The sequence below is a fragment of the Homo sapiens genome, chromosome 7, assembly GCF_000001405.40.
Source record: "Homo sapiens chromosome 7, GRCh38.p14 Primary Assembly".
In the NCBI taxonomy this organism is placed as follows: domain Eukaryota; kingdom Metazoa; phylum Chordata; class Mammalia; order Primates; family Hominidae; genus Homo; species Homo sapiens.
In genome coordinates this window covers 17,856,385-17,874,477 of record NC_000007.14, presented here as the reverse complement: position 1 = coordinate 17,874,477, position 18,093 = coordinate 17,856,385, and the positions used below count along the sequence as shown (strand labels likewise).

Genomic DNA, 18,093 nt, shown 5'->3' with positions numbered 1-18,093 from the left:
GAGGGTTTCGGGTACTGACTCCCTGTGCAGACAGAATTCTGTGCATAACTTTTGACCCCCAAAAACTTAAATACTAACAGCCCACTGTTAACCATAACCCTTATCAATAATGTAAACAATTGATTAACACATAGACTAGTATCTGCATATATTTTATGCATTCATGGCATACCTTTTTGTGAATTTTTTTGATATTTCTAGGCTATGCGGTTCATCTCTTGAGTTTTTTAAATTGTCACAAATCTCTAAAAAATTTTCCAATATATTTACTGAAAAAAATCCACATATAAGTGGACCTGAGCAGTTCAGACTCTTTGTTCAAGGGTCAATTTATATTACAGTAACTTAGAATGTAACACATAGATATACTGATGTGCAATACTTTTATGTAAGTTGAGCTCTCTTAAATCAGCAGAATAGAAGAGCATACTCTTTTTTTCCTTTGTTATAGCCTGCTGAGATGATGGAGGTGTTTTCTTGAAAGAAGAATTACAGCTATGTTTTTATATGTGTGAATAACTTTTAAGTATGGAAAGCTAATTAACGTGTGGTAGAATTACAGAGTACCTGGTCCATCTAAAACTATTTTGGGAAAAAAGACTTGTAACGAAATTTTTTTATGATTCAAAAAACTGGTTAAAACAGCAAAATTAAAAAAAATTAAGTTGATTAATGAATAGTTACTACTTGGAGAATAATGAAGGAATTTTTAATGAATACTGATGTGTACTAATTACTAAAATAAGCCATTGTAACCAGGGAACTGGTTATTTCTGCCTTTTTAAATGTATCTTATATATCAAGAGGAAGTGTAGACTTTATATTTTCTAATGTTATGATAGCTACTTTTTCTACTTTTAGGATTCCTAAGGGATTTGTGTGAGGTCTTACTATATTTATTGCTACCTCCTGGAGATTTCCAGAACAAGATCATGCGATACTTTGTCAGGGTAAGCTTAAACTCATACCATATCATACCTGCAAAAAAATGTAGAGCAGTAGTTTTCAAAATTTTTGTCTTAAGACCCTGTTACACTCTTAAAAATTATTGAAGACTCCAAAGAGCTTTTGTTTATGTGAGTTTTCTTTAAAATATTTACACAAGTGAAGACTAAGAAATTTTTAAAACATGAAAATATGCAAGCATGTATTTCATTACCTAATAGCTCGATACCATCATAGCATTATGTAACTTTGTAAAGGTCACTGTGTGTACATGAAAGAACAAGAGTGAAAAGTTAAATAATGTCTTAGCATTATTATGAAAATGGTGTTGAAAGGGTCACCTGAAACCCAAGCTTCGGGGGAACTTCAGGTTCATGGAAACCTCCCACTAATCCCCCAGAAGTCTCTGGCTGATAGTTAGGTGCTTTGGTTTTTGGTTATGACAAAAGTTTGTTTTAAATTTTCTTATACCCTAGTGTTATCTAAATCAGGTTAGATAAAAATAACATTTTTGGACAGAAACTTTAAAAACTGTACAGTTAAGATTATGTTTTTTAGCAATTGGAAAATTAATGTCAGATGAGAATAGTAGTCTTGGACTTGTTATTCCCTGAGTATAAACCTTCAGAGTAAAGTTCTGTGTGTAAATTTAAAGGAATAACATTTGTCTTTGGCTGCTGGTAATGATTTAGAAAGGCTAGCTACACAAGAACATGTCCTGGTTGAATGCGTAACGTGAAAAGTTTTGAATTTTCCTAAAAACAAAAGCTTATGATCTCTTTAGTCTGTCCTGCAAAATAGATAACAATTCCTGAGACTTGCTTTTATGCTTGCATGTTATTGTTTATAAGCCATACCATACAATTTCCTAACATCTACCTAGCTTGGGGTTCAGTGTACTTCTCAGGTATGTTAATGGTACTTATGTGAAGTAATAGAAAGTGCTTGGTTTTGATGGGAGGAGCCTGATACATTAACTGTATATTGTTAAGGCCAATTATTTGGGCTGGTCATTATGACGGGTGGCAAGTACCTGGATGTCTATCACTAGATTCATATCTGCCACTTAAGGAAGATAGTACTAGTCAGGTATAGCATTTGTTCATGCAGAGTATCCATTTGGCATAATAATCTGTTTATATATTACTCCAGCCAGCTACTGTTACGTGGAATCTCAGCATTATTTCGCATGTCTTGCCATCTTTTCCTTATTGAAACTCTATTTTCTCCTTTCTTTCATGTCACTGGTCTCATTTTTAGTCACCTTTGCTTTCCTTTTTAGTCATGTTTATACTCCTTAACTTCTCTTCTGCTTAAATTTTGATTATTCAAGATCTTAAGTCCCAAGACTTTTTCTTGCTCATCCGTTACTGTGGCTTTAAACGCCTTTCCAAATGCTAATGCGTTTGAAATTTATAGCTTTATTTCAGATTTACCTTCTGAGCTCCGGGCAACTCTGAGCTGCCCTCTTGAAATCACCACTTGAGTGACTCACAGCTTTTTAAAACTGAAATGTCCAAAGTGGAAGTCTTATTCTTACCTCCATATCCTGTGTGCCTTTTAGTCTTCTCTCCATCCTAGTAAGTGGTATGATCATCTAGTAAATTTTTCAGATCTCAAGTCCTTCAAGAGGCTTATAGGTTCGCATGTAGTGTGGCCTTATTTACCTCTCTAGCCTTCATGCCAAGCAATGTCAAGGAAAACCAGAACTGGACAGTAAGTGTAGTAAAAAACAGACCTTATCCAGCAACTGTTGCAGTAGGGGAAAAGTGACCTCGGTTTAGGACCGAACTCAATTCTGAATAAAAAAGAACAAGTTGGGATTTATAGCCAAGGAGCAGGCTGGGGATCAGTGGATGGAAAATTACTAAAAGGAAACATCAGATGTAGTGGGAATTCTGGTTAAACAGACTTAATAGGATTCTTGTTGAAAGCAGGATGGGATGTTCAGACACAAAGGGTGGGGACTGAGGAATTTAAGGTGAGGGAGGTTTGGCTAAACCCACTTGATAGAATTCTTGCTAAAACTGCAATGAAAAGATGAACAGACATGGAAACTCAAAGGTTAAGGCATAAATGGGTGGAGGATTCAGAGGAGCCTAAGTTTGGTCAAGGATGGTCTTTGTTAGTGGTCACTATACTCCAGCCACACTGGCATTTTCCCCCAAAAGTGCCATTTTCCTCCCTGCCTCTCATGTCCTTTTTTTCTCTGTTAAGAATGATTCCTTGGCCAGGCGCGGTGGCTCACGCCTGTGATCCCAGCACTTTGAGAGGCCAAGGTGGGCGGATCACGAGGTCAGGAGATCGAGACCATCCTGGCTAACACGGTGAAACGCCGTCTCTACTAAAAATACAAAAAATTAGCTGGGCATGGTGGCAGGCGCCTGTCATCCCAGCTACTCGGGAGGCTGAGGCAGGAGAATGGCATGAACCCGGGAGGCGGAGCTTGCAGTGAGCTGAGATCGCGCCACTGCACTCCAGCCTGGGCGACAGAGCCAGACTCCCTCTCAAAAAAAAAGAAAAAAAAAAAAGAAAACCCGATTCCTCTTATTCTATCAGCTAAATTGTATTCATTCTTCATATCTCACTACATGTCGCTTCCTTAGAGATGCCCTCCCTGACCACCCAATCTATATCTCCCTCATAATTCCCTGTTATTATGGATAGTATCCAATTGTTTTCCTTCATAGCATTTACCATATTTTAAGATGGTAATTTGGTTGTTAATTTGATACCTCTTTCTCCCAGATGAATTGTAACTCTAATGAGGACAGAGATTATATCTGTATTTATCATAAATATATACTTAGTGCTTAACGTGATACTTGGCACATAGCAGATGCTCAGACAATCAGTTTTAATGCAAAAGGAAACCCATTTACCCTCTTGATGGCTGTGGTGCATGTGCTACTGCAGCTTCTTGAAGATTAAGTTGACTCCTAAGAGCCATGAATGAAAATCTGCCTTGTTACAGGAAGTTATTTAAAATAAGTAGGATTTTAATGAGCACATTTTTTTAAAATAAATTTCTCTTTTAGGCCGGTATTTTATTACTTTTTGGTTGAATCTAATTAAGTGAGGATAATTGCAGACCATGCATTCAGCAAGTCAGTTTTTTTTCCTTTAGCTCTTTCTTTGTTTTCTTTTGTCAGTAATTCTAAAATTTCTCACAGGATATTTTTGTTTAGATTAAATAACAGACGAAAGAGTTTTAATTTTCTTTGTACGGATACTTTGTATAGATTGTGTAAGTCACAGTATTTGAGATAATTGCTATTTAATTGCCTCTACTTTCTTGCCGTTACTATGTTTTATTCCTTTAAAGATATGGCTTCAATGATTTTGTATCTTTTAGGCCCCATGTTTGACAAACATTGCTGTCTTCTAAAAATTGGAGGTCTTAAAGTAGGAATTATGTGGAAGTGCCTACTTGCTTGGAATATTTAGAGCTCTCACTAGGACCTTGAGTCATATGACTAGCCCTTGACTAACCAAACCCTTTAATGTGACAGATTAGAAGTTTTCTAATACAAATCGACTCATTGCACCAACTAATAAGAAACACAAAATTTAATCAAAAATTTTCCCCAGGTGTTTTTTTCTCCTTTTGAAAAGAAGCATTGGAAAAAGTGTGTGTGTGTGTGTGTGTGTGTCTGTGTGTGTGTGAGTAAATTTTCTCCTAACAAAGTGCATTTTAAAATTTGAACATGTGGCCAGAGACATAATTTGAAGGAAGGAATTACATACGTAAATACAATTTTGAAGAAGTAGGAGACTAAAACTAACCTTGAAAGAAGCAATTTTTTGTCATTTCAGACTGCAAAGTGTCTCCAAAGACATTTCAAAAAAATTACTGGTGCCTCCATTAGTGCTTTTTGGAAATACTGATTCATCATGGGGGTAATAGTTGGCAGAGACTTGTACAGCTTACAAAAGAGACTTGTACAGTTTACTAAAAATAAAGACCACCTTCTGTGATCCTTTACTTAGAAAAATTATACATCCTGTTAAGCTTATTGTTATTTAACCTCCCCCAATATTCTTAAGAAATTAGGGTTCATAAATTTATATATTACTGGCACTAAAGGGTAATACCAGGTGAAATCATTGTATTTATAGAATCTACTAAATTCTTAGTTTCTTTTTTTCTACTCATTTATCAAATGCCTGCCATGTTTAAAACAATGACCTTGAGAAGATGGGATGAGGAAGGTAAATATTTTTGAGAATAAATAATTCAGTAGATAAGTTGACCAATTCCACTCATATGGAGGTTTCCTAGATAGTTGCCTCTATTAGAAAAATATAAGACTTATAATTACAGAGAAAATATCAAGTGTTAAATGCTGTAGATACAGGGCATGAGTATTTCAAGCATATTTCTGTTGGAATGATCAAGATTTATTTAATAGGGTAATTGATTCTGCAGTCAATTGTTCTGCATAGGAACATAAACAACTGCAAAGAATGGGAAGGTAGATTTTAGAGAATGTTGAATCGATTAACATATCTATTATTTTAAAAATGTTTATTAGGAAACTATTCAAACACAGAGAAGCATAGAGAATAATACAGTAGACATTTATGTACCAACCACCTAGATGTAACCAGTGTTGATAATGTACTGTAGTTGCCGTTTCCTCCCTTGGTAGTAGTTCTAAAATCAGTTTGTATCCTTCCCTTTTCTTTTCTGTTTCTATAGTTTTAATAAAGATAAATGAATCCATAAACACTGTTAGTCTTATATTTTGTCTTTTTAAAATTGACATCAATGCTAACATACTAGAGGTATCATCTTGCTTTATTTCACTCCACAGTTGTTACTGTGGAGATGTGTCCAAGTTGATACAGGTAACTGTATCTCATTTATCTAAACTGAGGCATAGTAGTTCATCTTTTTATAAGACTGTGTTGCTTATCAAGTCCTAGTTACATGTATATCATACTTTTCTTAAGTAACAGCATTGTGTTAGAATATTTACATTATGCTGTTGATTTCAGAAATAGATTAAATTTGTTTTTGTTATTTACTTTTTTTTCAGGAAATCCTTGCACGAGGAATTCTTCTTCCATTAATAAATCAACTCAGTGATCCTGATTATATTAATCAGTATGTCATATGGATGGTAGGTGCCTTTTAAAATTACAACTCTGTTTTAGAAATAATTTTTGAAATGTAAAAATATAGTTGGGAGATAGGGTGTTTAAGCAGTAATTTATTAAAGAAATTAAGTAAAAATGTTTCTGAAGTAATCTCTGTGTTTCCAATATTTTTATTTGCTTATATTTTGAATGTGTTGGCCAAATTCTCTTTAAGAATTTTGTTGATTATCTTCCTTGCGGTTATGGTGCTACTACTATTTCTTTAAAAAAATAGAATATTTTACTACCTGTGTCTATAGATGATGAGTATTTTTAATGGCTACTATTTGATTTTTAAATACAACTTGGGATTTGAACTACTTGACATGTAACTCACATTTTATACTGTATAATGGGGAAAATATGGAGGACAGAATAGTAGAATGAGAACCAGAAGATCTGGATTCTAGATGTTTCTGTAAGTTGCCTAGTGTCTGTAGTAGTTAACTCAATAGTTTTCTTCTGTCAGACATATCAAAGACTTAGTTATTACTAAGTCCACAAGCCCTATTTTTTTTTCTTTATAATGTATCCTTTTCCTTAATAAACTCATGGTCAAGGAAGAATTGTAAATGGGCCACCTTCTGGGAATACTTTGATACCTACTTCTAGATCTTTGATTTATTTTCTTAAATCTGGGATTTCTACTCTACATTTGTCTTCCTTTAACTCAGTGTAGCTTTCTTAAGAAAGAATTACTTGATTGTTCTTTGATTTCCCTTAGGCATTGTCAGACTTGCCATTGTTTTATTTTTTTTTTTACTTTATTTTTATTTATTTATTTTTGAGATGGGATCTCACTCTTTCATCCAGGCTAGAGTGCAGTGACAATCTTGGCTCACTGCAGCCTCCGCCTCCTTGGCTCAAGTGATCCTCCCGCTTCAGCCTCCCAAGTAGCTGGGACACAGGCATGCACCACCACATCCCGCTAATTTTTTGTACTTTTGGTAGAGACATGGTTTTGCTATGTAGCCCTAGCCAGTCATGAACTCCTGAGCTCAAGCGATCTGCCTGCCTCAGCCTCCCGAAGTGCTGGGATTACAGGTGTGAGCCATTGTGCCTGGCTGCTGTTGTTTTATTTTTGTTGTTGCAAAGGTTTACCCTTCGACCAGATTGTAGTACCTGCAGACAAAAGTTGTTATTAATTGTGTACTTCTGGAGCCTTTCCTGGAGACCATGGAACTTGATTCTTCTTTTCCTCTGTGAACTTTTTTAGACTTTGCATTAGGCACTATAAAAGCTTTGAAAATACACATATCTGCACAATTAAAACTATAAAAAAGTGAGTCTCCTTTGGCTAGGAACTCCTAAGAAGTTATTTTAAAGTGATAATCAAATTTGTGACAATCTGTATTTAAAAATTTTAACAAGTTTTTAATTTTTAAAAATTATGGATATGTAAGAGTTGTACATATTTATGGAGTACATGTGATATTTCGATATAAGCATACAATGTATAATGTTCAAATCAGGATAATTGGGGTATCCATCAGATCAGCATTTATCACTTCTTTGTGTTAGGAACATTCCAATTCCACTCCTATGGTTATTTTGAAATATACAATAAATTATTGTTAACTGTAGCCACCCTGTTGTGCTACTGAATGGTAGATCTTACTCTTTCTGTCTGACTGTGTTTTATACCCATTAGCCATTCCTTCTTTATTTCCCTTCTCAGCATCTGGTAAAGAAACATTATTTGACACTGTATCTCCATGAGTTCAGTCTTTGTTTTGTTTTGTTTTTAGTTCCCACATATTTGGCCTGCTGTGCATGGTTAATTTGACTTAACATAATGTCCCTCAGTCAATATTTCATTCTTTTTTTAATGGCTGAATAATATTCTATTTTGTGTATGTACCATGTTTTCTTTATCCATTTCTTTACATACTTGCAAGCATTTGTTATTGCCTTTCTTTTGGTTAAAAGCCATTTTAACTGGAGTGAAATAGTATCTCATTGTAGTTTGTATTTCTATGATGATAAGTGCTGTTAAGCATTTTTTAATAACCTGTTTTCCATTTATATGTTACCTTTTGAGAAATGTCTATTCAGATCTTTTTGCCCATTTTTAATGGGATTCTTTTTTTTTTTTTCCTATTGAGTTGTTTGAGTTCCTTATATATTCTGGTTATTATTTCTTTGTCACATGAGTAGCTTGCAAATATTTTCTCCTATTCTGTGGATTGTCTCTTGCCTTTGTTGATCATTCCCTTTGCTGTGCAGAAGCCTTTTAGCTTGATGTGATCTCATTTGTACATTTTTGCTTTGGTTCCCTATGCTTTTGAGGTCTTATGTAAGAAATCTTTGCCCAGACCAATGTCATGGATTGTTTCCCCACTGTTTTCTTCTAGTAGTTTTATAGTTTCACATCTTAGATTGAAGTCTTTAATCCATTTTAAATTGGTTTTTCTATATGCTGAGAGATAGGGGTCTAGTTTCATTCCTCTGCGTATCGATATCCAGTTGTCTTGGCACCATTTATTAAAGTGACTGTTTTTTTCCCCAATGTGTATTTTTGGCACATTTGTAAAAAGTGAATTTACTGTGAATGTGTGGGTTTATTTCTGTGTTCTCTATTCTGTTCCATTGGTTTATGTGTCTGTTTTTATGCCAGTACCCTGCTGTTTTGGTTACTGTAGCTCTGTAGTATAATTTGAAGTCAAGTAATGTGATGTCTTCAGCTTTGTTCTTTTCTGCTTAGGATTGCTTTGGCTATTCTGGGTCTTTTGTGGTTCCATATATTAATACATTTTGGGATTATTTTTTCTATTTCTGTGAAAAAGGTTATTGGTATTTTGATATGGGTTGCTTTGAATTTGCAGATTGCTTTTTGTACTATGGACATTTTAGCAATATTGATTCTTCCAATCCATGAACATGGAGCATCTTTTCATTTTTTTTGTGTCTTATTCAATTTCTTTTATCAGTGTTTTACAGTTTTCCTTGTAGACATCTTTTACTTCCTTGGTTAAGTTTATTCTTACGTATTTTATTTGTGATTATATGGGATTACTTTTCTTGTTTTCTTTTTCAAATTGTTCACATAGAAACACTATTGATTTTTGTATGTTCGTTTTGTATCTTGAAGCTTTACTAAATTTGTTTATCAGTTATTTTTTGTTGACTTGTGTTTTAGTCATCTCACTAAAGATATGAGTGGATTGTACACCACAGTTGCAGTATTATTCTGTAGTTGTCTGTGTACTTAGTATCAATGAGTTTTATACTTTCAGGTGATTTCTTATTGCTCATTAACATGCTTTTCTTTCAGATTGAAAAACTCCCTTTAGGATTTCTAGTAAGACTCATCTGGTATTGATGAAATCCCTTAGCTTTTGTTTGTCTGGCCAAGACTTTATTTCTCCTTCAGAGTTGACAGATAAATTTGCAGGATATATTTTAGGTTGGAAGACATTTTTTTTTCCTTCAGCACTTTGAATGTATGAATGATCCCGCTCCCTCCTGGCCTGTAAGGTTTCTGCTCAGATGTGTGCTGCCAGACGTATCAGAGCTCCTTTGTGTTATTTGCTGCTGCTGCTGCTCCTCCTCCTCCTCCTCTTCCTCTTCCTCCTTCCCTTTCTTCCCTTTCCCCTCCCCCTTCTCCTCCTTCTCCTTCTTTTCCTTCTTTATGCAGCTTTTAGGACTCTTTATTTATCCTTGACCTTGGAGAGTTTGATTTACATGCCTTTGGTCATCTTATTTGGATTGAATTTTATTGGTGTTTTTCGACCTTCTTGTACCTGGATATTCATGTTTTTTTCTGGGTTTTAAAAGTTCTTTGTTATTATTTCTTTGAATAAACTTTTTACCCAGTCTCTCTCTTTACATCCTCTTTAAGGCCAATAAATCGTAGATTAGCCCTTATGACACTGTTTTCTAGATCTTGTGGGTATGCTTCATTTGTTTTCAGATTCTTTTTTTCTCTATGTGTTTTCGTATAGCCTGTCTTAGCTCGGTTCTTCCTTTTGCTGGACCAATTCTGCTATTAAGATACTCTGATTAATTTTTCAGTTTATCAATTGAATTTTTCAGTTCTAGAGTTTGTTTATTATTTCAGCCTCTGTTAAATTTCTCAATAGAATTCTGAATTCCTTCTCTTTGTTATCTTGAAATTCTTTGAGCTTCCTCAAAACAGCTCTTTTGTATTTCATGTCTGAAAGGTCACATATTTCCTTCACTTCCAGAGTGGTCATTGGTGCCTTATTTAGTTTCTTGAGGTGATGTTTTCCTGGATGTTCTTGGTGCTTGTAGATGTTCATTAATGTCTGGACATTGAAGAGTTAATTATTTATTTTAATCTTCTCAATCTGGGCTTATTTGTACCATCCTTGTTGAGAAGGCTTTTCATGAAGTCAAAAGGGATTGAATGTTGTAACCTAAGCCTATGGTCACTATGCTATTTCAGCACTAGTGGGATCCCTAAGCCCAGGAATACTGTGACTCTTGGAGACTCCTAAATACACTGCCATGATGCACTTCAGTAAGATAAAGGAGAATTCCCTAGGTTACCAGACAAAGTCTTTCATGCTCTTCCCTCTCTTTCTCTTAATTACAAAGGGTCTGTTTCTGTGTAATGCTGCCTAGAGTTGGGGAAACAGTGACATGGACACTGTCATGGTCACCATGGCTGGCACCGTGCAGAGTTGCACCTCAAACCTTGCAGAGCAGCACAGTACTGGGGCTTGCCTAACGCCTGTGGCCACTGCTGCCTGGCTGCTGCTGCTATTTATTCATGGCCCAGGACCACTTTAGTCAGCAGATTGTGAATTCTGCTAGGGACTGGGTCTGTCTTATCAGGGCAACAGCTTCCCTTCTGGCCAAGGGTGGGTCTAGAAATGCTGTCCAGGAGGAAAGATGTATATTCTTGGGTTTCAGCAATCTGCCTGGTTTTTGGTTTTACTGCGGCTGAGCTGTTACCTAAGTTTTAAGACACAGCCCTCTGTATTCCTCCCTTTCCTTCCTCTGAGTGGAAGGAGTCTTTGCTGGAGTTACACTGCCTGGAAGTGGTGGAGGGATGACACAGACACTCTGCTGGCCACCATAGCTGGTGTTACACTGGGTCATACCCGAAGTCTACTGACCGCTGAGAAGAGTGTATGTAGCACCAGGGCTTGCCCTAGGACTGCAGTGCTTGTGGCCTGACTGCCACTCATATTTATTTAGTGCCCCAGGCCATGTCAGTCAGCGCAAGTGAAGCCACCTGGATTCGAGTTATTCCCCCTGAGCTGAGAATTCTGCTCTGGCTCAGGGCTGGTCTAAATGCTCCTTCCCTGGGTGCTAGTGGAATTCTGTCCTGTGCTGTGACAGAGCAGTTCTCAGTTTCAAAGCAGAGTTCTATACTTACTTCACTCTTCCTCCCACAAGCCCACAGATTCTCTTTCTGTGCTGTGCTGTCCAGGGTTGAGGGGAGGGGTGGTGGAGGCAATACGAGACTGTCTTTCCTACCCTTTTGAATGCCACTTTCCTTGATATTATGCTCAAACCGGGTACTGTGATCACTCACCTAATTTTATGGTTCCTATGAAGGTGCATGGACGGTTATTTAATATGGTGTTCCTGTGGGGAGGATGATCGCTGGAGGGCTCTACTTGGCCACCTTGCTCGGCCTCCTCCAATAATGTATATTTAAGACCGTTCATAGCAGCATTGGTTATAGTAGCAAAAAATGGAAAGCAACTTAAATGTCCCAAATAGGGGATTAGTTAATATATAATAACACATTGATACAATTGAATACTATGTAACCATTTAAAGTGATGATAGTATATCTTTATGAACTTGAAAAATTGTTCATATCTTTTGCATGAAAAAGATAACTAAAATTAGCATATATGTTAGATAAATATCCCATTCTTTAGAAAAATATACTTATTAATGACTGTAATTCTCATAGGATATACACTGAAATGTTAATAGAAAGGTAGTAATTTTTCTTTTTTATGTATTTCATTTCACTTGCAATGAGTATGGATTATGTAATAAAATAGTATGTTTTTAAGCGGTAGAAACTTACATGCAAAATTTATAAACATTTAAGTTAAAATTCAGGCAGGGTAAATAATAATAAAATTTGTTTAGTAGTACAGAAAATGGATATTGTATACTAAACTTAAATAATCAGGATATAATTATTAACTCTGGTCCAAAAATGGAAGCAAGTTGAACAGAATGTTATGGTTATCTCTCACTCATGGGATTGGGAATTATTTTTATTCCCCTCTGTCTCTATACAGATATTTTTTAGTGTTCAGTTTTCTGTTTCTGAGCATGTATTAACTGCATTAACTGTAATTACGTATATAGTAAAAACATTTTGGAGTGGGCTTAGCCTATATTCTAAAAATATTTCAAACTGTTGGGGGCAGCAAATAGCTGAATTACTGATGGTTCTGCAGAAACCTCACTTCTTGCCTCCTCAAGAAAGAATTTGACTGAGAGATGTGAGGCATAAAAAGAGACTGAGGTAAGTTTCAGAGCAGGAGTGGAAGTTTGTTAAAAAGCTTTATAGCAGGAAAGAAAGGAAAGTACACTGGAAGAGACCCAAGTGGGCACTTCGGAGGTCAAGTGCCTTGTTTAACCTTGATCCTACGATTTTATGTACTGGTCCACTTCTGGCATCTTGCATCCCTTTTCTCATGATTCTTCCCTTTGGGTGGGCTGCCCACATGCACGGTGCCCTCCTTACACTTGGGAAGTGAGCACACACAGTGTGTTTAGGAAGTTGTACACATGTCCATCTGAGACTTTCTTCACTTTTCTGGGGGCATTCCACCAGAAGGTCATACTCTGTCATTTTGTCTCTCAATGCACATCCTCGAGCTCACTTGACTATTTCCTGAGATTTTATTGGAAGCTAGTTACCAATTTCAAGTGTTTTTATCTGTTTGGGAAATTGCCACTTTCTGGTGCCTGTGACCAATGATTACGTTAGTGTGACAGCTGTGGACCATCAGGAAATTGCCTCTTCCTGGTGTGGGCTGCGAATTATTTTTGCAGTTATCACACTGTGTGTGTGTGTGTGTGTGTGTGTGTGTGTGTGTGTGTGAGATAACTGTATGTGTGATAACTGTATGTGTGATAACTGCCAAACCCATCACCTGATGGCTGCCTGACATTTCTGGCAGGGGCGGGGTGAAAGGGGTGCTCTCCTGCTGAACAAGAATGCAGTCCCTATTGTACTGTGCAACAAAATATCAGGAATAAAAATATCTGTGCATGGTGGTGCATACTTGTGGTCCTAGCTACTCCAGAGGCTGAAGTGGGAAGATCATGTGAGCCCAGGAGATCAAAGCTGCAGTGAGCTGTGATTGTGCCATTGTACTCCAGCCTAGGCAACAGAGCAAGACCCCATCACAAAAAAAAGACACAAATAAATGGAAACACATACTATGTTCATGAAGTGACCTAATATTGTAAAGACAGCCATACTGCCCAGAGCAATTTACCGATTCAGTGCAATTCTTACCAAAATCCCAATGATATTTCTTTGCACCTCACCCTTCCTGATTTCAAAACCTATTACAAAGCTACAGTAATTAACTGTATGGTGCTGGCATAAAGATAGAAATGTAGACTTAGTGGAACAGAATAGAGAACTGAGAAGTAAGTTCTCATGTGCATACTCAAATGATCTGCATAGATTTGTATCAAGGCTACAAAATGGGAAAGAATAATCTCTTCAGCAAATGGTATTGGGAAAACAGGATAGCCACATGCAAAAGGATGAAGTTGGACCCTTAACCTTGCCCTGCATGTAAAAATTAACTCAAAATGGATTAAAGATCTGAAATGACAAAACTCCTAGAAGAATATGTAAGGGAAGAGCTTCTTAGATTTGATTATGATTTATTTGATATGATACCAAAAACTCAGACAAAAATAACAGCAATAGAGAGTGGGAGTGTATCAGACTAAAAAACTGCCCAGCAAAGGAACAATCACCAGAGTGAAAAGGTACCCTATACAATGGGAGAAAATATTTGCAAGCCATATATCCGATTAGGAATTAACATCCATCATATATAAAGAACTCATACTACTCAACAACAGGAAAAAGAAAAGTATTTAAAAATGTGCAAAATAGTGTATCTCCACAGAAGTTATACAGATGGCCAACAGTAATATGAAAAGATGTGCAACATCCCTAATCATTATGGAAATGCAAATCACAACCATAATAGTAAATGAATTATCTTACAACCATTTGGTCACTATTAAAAGAAAAAAAAACAAAATATCAGGTATTGGCGAGGATGTGGAAAAATTTAAACTCTTGTGCACTATCGATGGAATGTAAAATGGTGCAGACACTTTGGAAAACAGTTTGGAGGTTCTTCTCAAAATTGTTACCGTATGATCTAACAATCCCACGTCTAGGTCTCTATCCAAAAGAATTGAAAACAGGATCTTAAAGGGAAATTTGTGTAATCATGATTGCAGTATTCACAGTAGCCAAGAGGTGGAAATAACCTTAAGTGTCTATCAACAGATGAATGCATAAAGAGAATGTGGTATATACATACAGTAAAATATTATTCAGCCTTAACCAAAAAAAAGGAAATCCTGTATATCCTACAACATGATGAACCTTGAGAATACTGTGTTAAGTGAAATAAGCTTATCACAGAAAGACAAATACTGCATGATCCCTCTTTGAGTAGTCAAACTCTTAGTAAAATGTTGGTTGCTGGGATCTGGGAGGAGAGAACCAACAGGATTTGTTGTTCAGTGGATCTAGAGTTTCAGTTTTCAACATAAAAGATCAGAGAACTCTTTAAAAACAATGTTCTAATAGTTTATACCACTGTTAACTTAAATTGTTTAAGGTGATAAATTTTATGTTTTCTGTTTTTGACCACAGTAGAAAAAAGAATGAAATGAACAAATTGTCTTTCAGAGTTGTATTATAATTTTGCCTTTCCAGTAGCAGTATTTTACAGTTCTGGTCTTTCCACATTCTGATTAACATTTAGCATTGTCAATCTTAAATTTTAACTTCTCTAGTATGTGTGAATTGGTATTTTGTTGTAGTTACTTGCAGTTTCTTTATTACTAATGATACCGAGCGTCTTTTCCTGTGATTATTGGCCTGTTTTGTATCTTTTTTCAAGTGCTCATTTTCTCCCCGTTTATCTTTTTTAAATTGATAATGTAAGAATGCTTCGTATATTCTACATAGAAGTTCTTTATCAGATATATGTATTGCAGATATTATTCCCTAGGTTATGACTTGGTATTTTTTCTCGTTCAGTGATGTCTTTTGATGACAATTTTAAAGTTTTGATGAAACGTAATTTCCCAATTTGGGTTCCACAGCTAGTATTTTTTTGGTCTTCTCTAGGAAATCCTTGTTTGTTTGAAGATTACCAAGTTATTTGCCTATGCTAAGTTTTATAATTTTTACTTTTATATTTTGTTCTATGATTTATCTCACATTTTTATGTGTGTGGAATATGACAGTTTAGATTGATTTTTAAAATACAGACATCTAGATATTCTAGCACCATTTGTTGAAAAGACTTTTTCATAAAATTAATTTCCTTGGCACCTTACTAAAATATCAGTTTGCTCTAATATGTTTGGTTCTGATTCTGGCCTCTTCTTTTCTGTTGCTCTCTTTGTGTACCCATATGCAAATATCATACTTTCTGATTACTTTAGCTTTATCGTAATATTGAAATGGGACAGTATGAGTCTCTTACACTTGTTCTTTTTCTCTAGGATTGTTTTGACTATTTTTCACATAAAATTTATCAAACGTTTAGTTTTTATTAAAAACCTATTAGAATTTTAACTGTGATTACATTGAATCTATAGATGAATTTAGGAAGAATGGATAGTTTAACATTTTGTCTTCTTATCTAGGAACATGGCATCTCTCCATTTATTGAAGCCTCTGTAGTTTCTCTCAGCATTGTTTTGTAATTTTTAGTGTTTATGTATCTTTCACATTTTTAAAATAAATTTTTATAAATATTTTATATTTTTGATGCTGTTATAAATGTGATTTGTTTCTTGATTTATTTTTCAGATTGTTTACTAATGACAAATGGAAATGATACTCAGTATTATATGTTGATTTTGTATTCTGCAACATTTTTTGGAATCTTTAGGTTTTTCTAAATGGTGTTCATGTGGTCTGCAAACAAGGACAAATTGACTTTTTCCTTTCCAATTAGGATACTCTTTATTTCTCTCTTGCCTAATTACTCTGGGTAGGACTTCTAGTACTAGGCTGAATAAAATTTGTAGGAGTAGGCATCCTTTTTCTCCTGGTTCTTAAAGGAAAAGCTTTTAGCTTTTCTCCACTCAATATGATGTTAACTGTGAGTTTGTCATATATGGTGTTTAATTGTGTTGAGGTATTTTCCTTCTATACCTAATATTTTGAGAGATTTTATTTTGAAGGCATGTTGAATTTTATTGAATGCCTTTTCAACATCTATTGAAATGATAATGTTTTTTGTGCTTCATTCTGTTAACATCATGTATTATGCTTATCGATTTTCATATCTTGAACCATTCTTGCATTTCTGTGATGAATCCCACCCACTTAATCATGGTGAATAATCTTTTTAATGTGTTGTTGAATTAAGTTTATTAGTATTTTTTTTTTGAGATGGAGTCTTGCTCTGTAGTTCAGTGGCGCTGTCTCAGCTCACTGTAACCTCCACCTCCCAGGTTCAAGCAATTCTCCCTGCCTCAGACTCCCGAGTAACTGGGATTACAGATGCCCGCCAGCATGCCCTGCTAATTTCTGTATATTTAATAGAGATGAGGTTTCACCATGTTGGCCAGGCTGGTCTTGAACTCCTGACCTCTGGTGATCCGCCACCTCGGCCTCCCAAAGTGCTGGGATTATAGGTGTGAGCCACCGCACCTGGCCAGTTTACTAGTATTTTGTTGAGGATCTTGACATCTGTGTTCATCAGGGATGAGCTTGTAGTTTTCTTTTTTTGTTGTGTCCTTGTCTGGTGTTGGTGTTAGAGTAATGCTGGGCTTGTAGATTGAGTTTCAAAGTATTCCTTCCTCTTTAATTTTTGGAAACATTGAATAGAATCAATATTAGTTCCTTTAAAAATATTTGGTAGAATTTAGCAGCACTGAAGCCATCAGGTCTTGGGCTTTTCTTGGATGGGATACTTTTACTACTGCCTCAGTCTTATTACTCGTTACTGGACTGTTCAGATTTTCTATTTCTTTATGGTTTATTGCTGGTAATTTTATGTGTGAGGAATTTATTCAGTTCTTCTAGGTTTTCCAGTTTGTTGGAGCATAATTATTTATAATGGTCTCTGATGATTCTTTATATTTCAGTTGTATCAGTTGTAGTATATCCATTTTCATCTCTGATTGTATTTTTTTTGGTGCCTCTTTTTTTCTTAGTCTAGCGTAAACATTTATTGCTTTTGTTTCTCCCTTTAAAAGATCACTTTTCAACTCAATCTTTTGTATTGTTTTCTTAGTCTCAATTTCATTTATTTTTGTTATAAATCTTAATTTGGGGTTTGGTTTGTTATTGCTTTTCTAGTTCCTTGAGGTGAATTTTCTTTTTCTTTTTCTTTTTCTTTTCTTTCTTTCTTTCTTTTTTTTTTTTTTTTTTAAGAGAGTCTCACTCTGTCAGCTAGGCTGGAGTGTGGTGGCATGATCACAGCTCATTGCAACCTCAACCAGGCTCATGTGATCCTCCCAACTCAGTTTCACATGTAGCTGGGACTACAGGGATATGCCACCATACCCGGCTAATTTTTTTATTGTTTTGTAGAGACAGGGTCTTACTATGTTGCCCAGCTGGTCTTAAACTTCTGGCTCAAGTACCCCTCCCACCTCAACCTCCCAAAGTGCTGGGATTACAAGTGTGAGCCATATACCTGGCCTACATTCAGCTGCTCTATGTCTTTTAATTGGAGAATTTAGTCCACTTACATTTAGTGTTACTACTAATAGGTAAGGAGGTAACTATTTTCTAGTTGTTTTGTAACTTCTTGGTTCCTTCTTACTGTC

At 35.7% G+C, this 18,093-nt stretch overlaps 1 protein-coding gene across 15 annotated transcripts in view; it reads left to right on the top strand.

Annotated features, from left to right (window-relative positions):
- SNX13 (sorting nexin 13) overlaps positions 1-18,093 on the top strand; it is a 149,734-nt gene that overhangs the window by 66,017 nt on the left and 65,624 nt on the right. For all 15 annotated transcript variants that reach the window (NR_146932.2, NR_146933.2, NM_001350863.2 and 12 more), the window contains 2 exons: positions 862-950; positions 5,988-6,071. Coding sequence is in view for 13 of the 15 variants with exons in the window: in NM_001350863.2 (NP_001337792.1) it covers positions 862-950; positions 5,988-6,071 (173 nt within the window). In the remaining 2 variants the exon portion in view is untranslated. The remainder of the gene's footprint in view (positions 1-861; positions 951-5,987; positions 6,072-18,093) is intronic.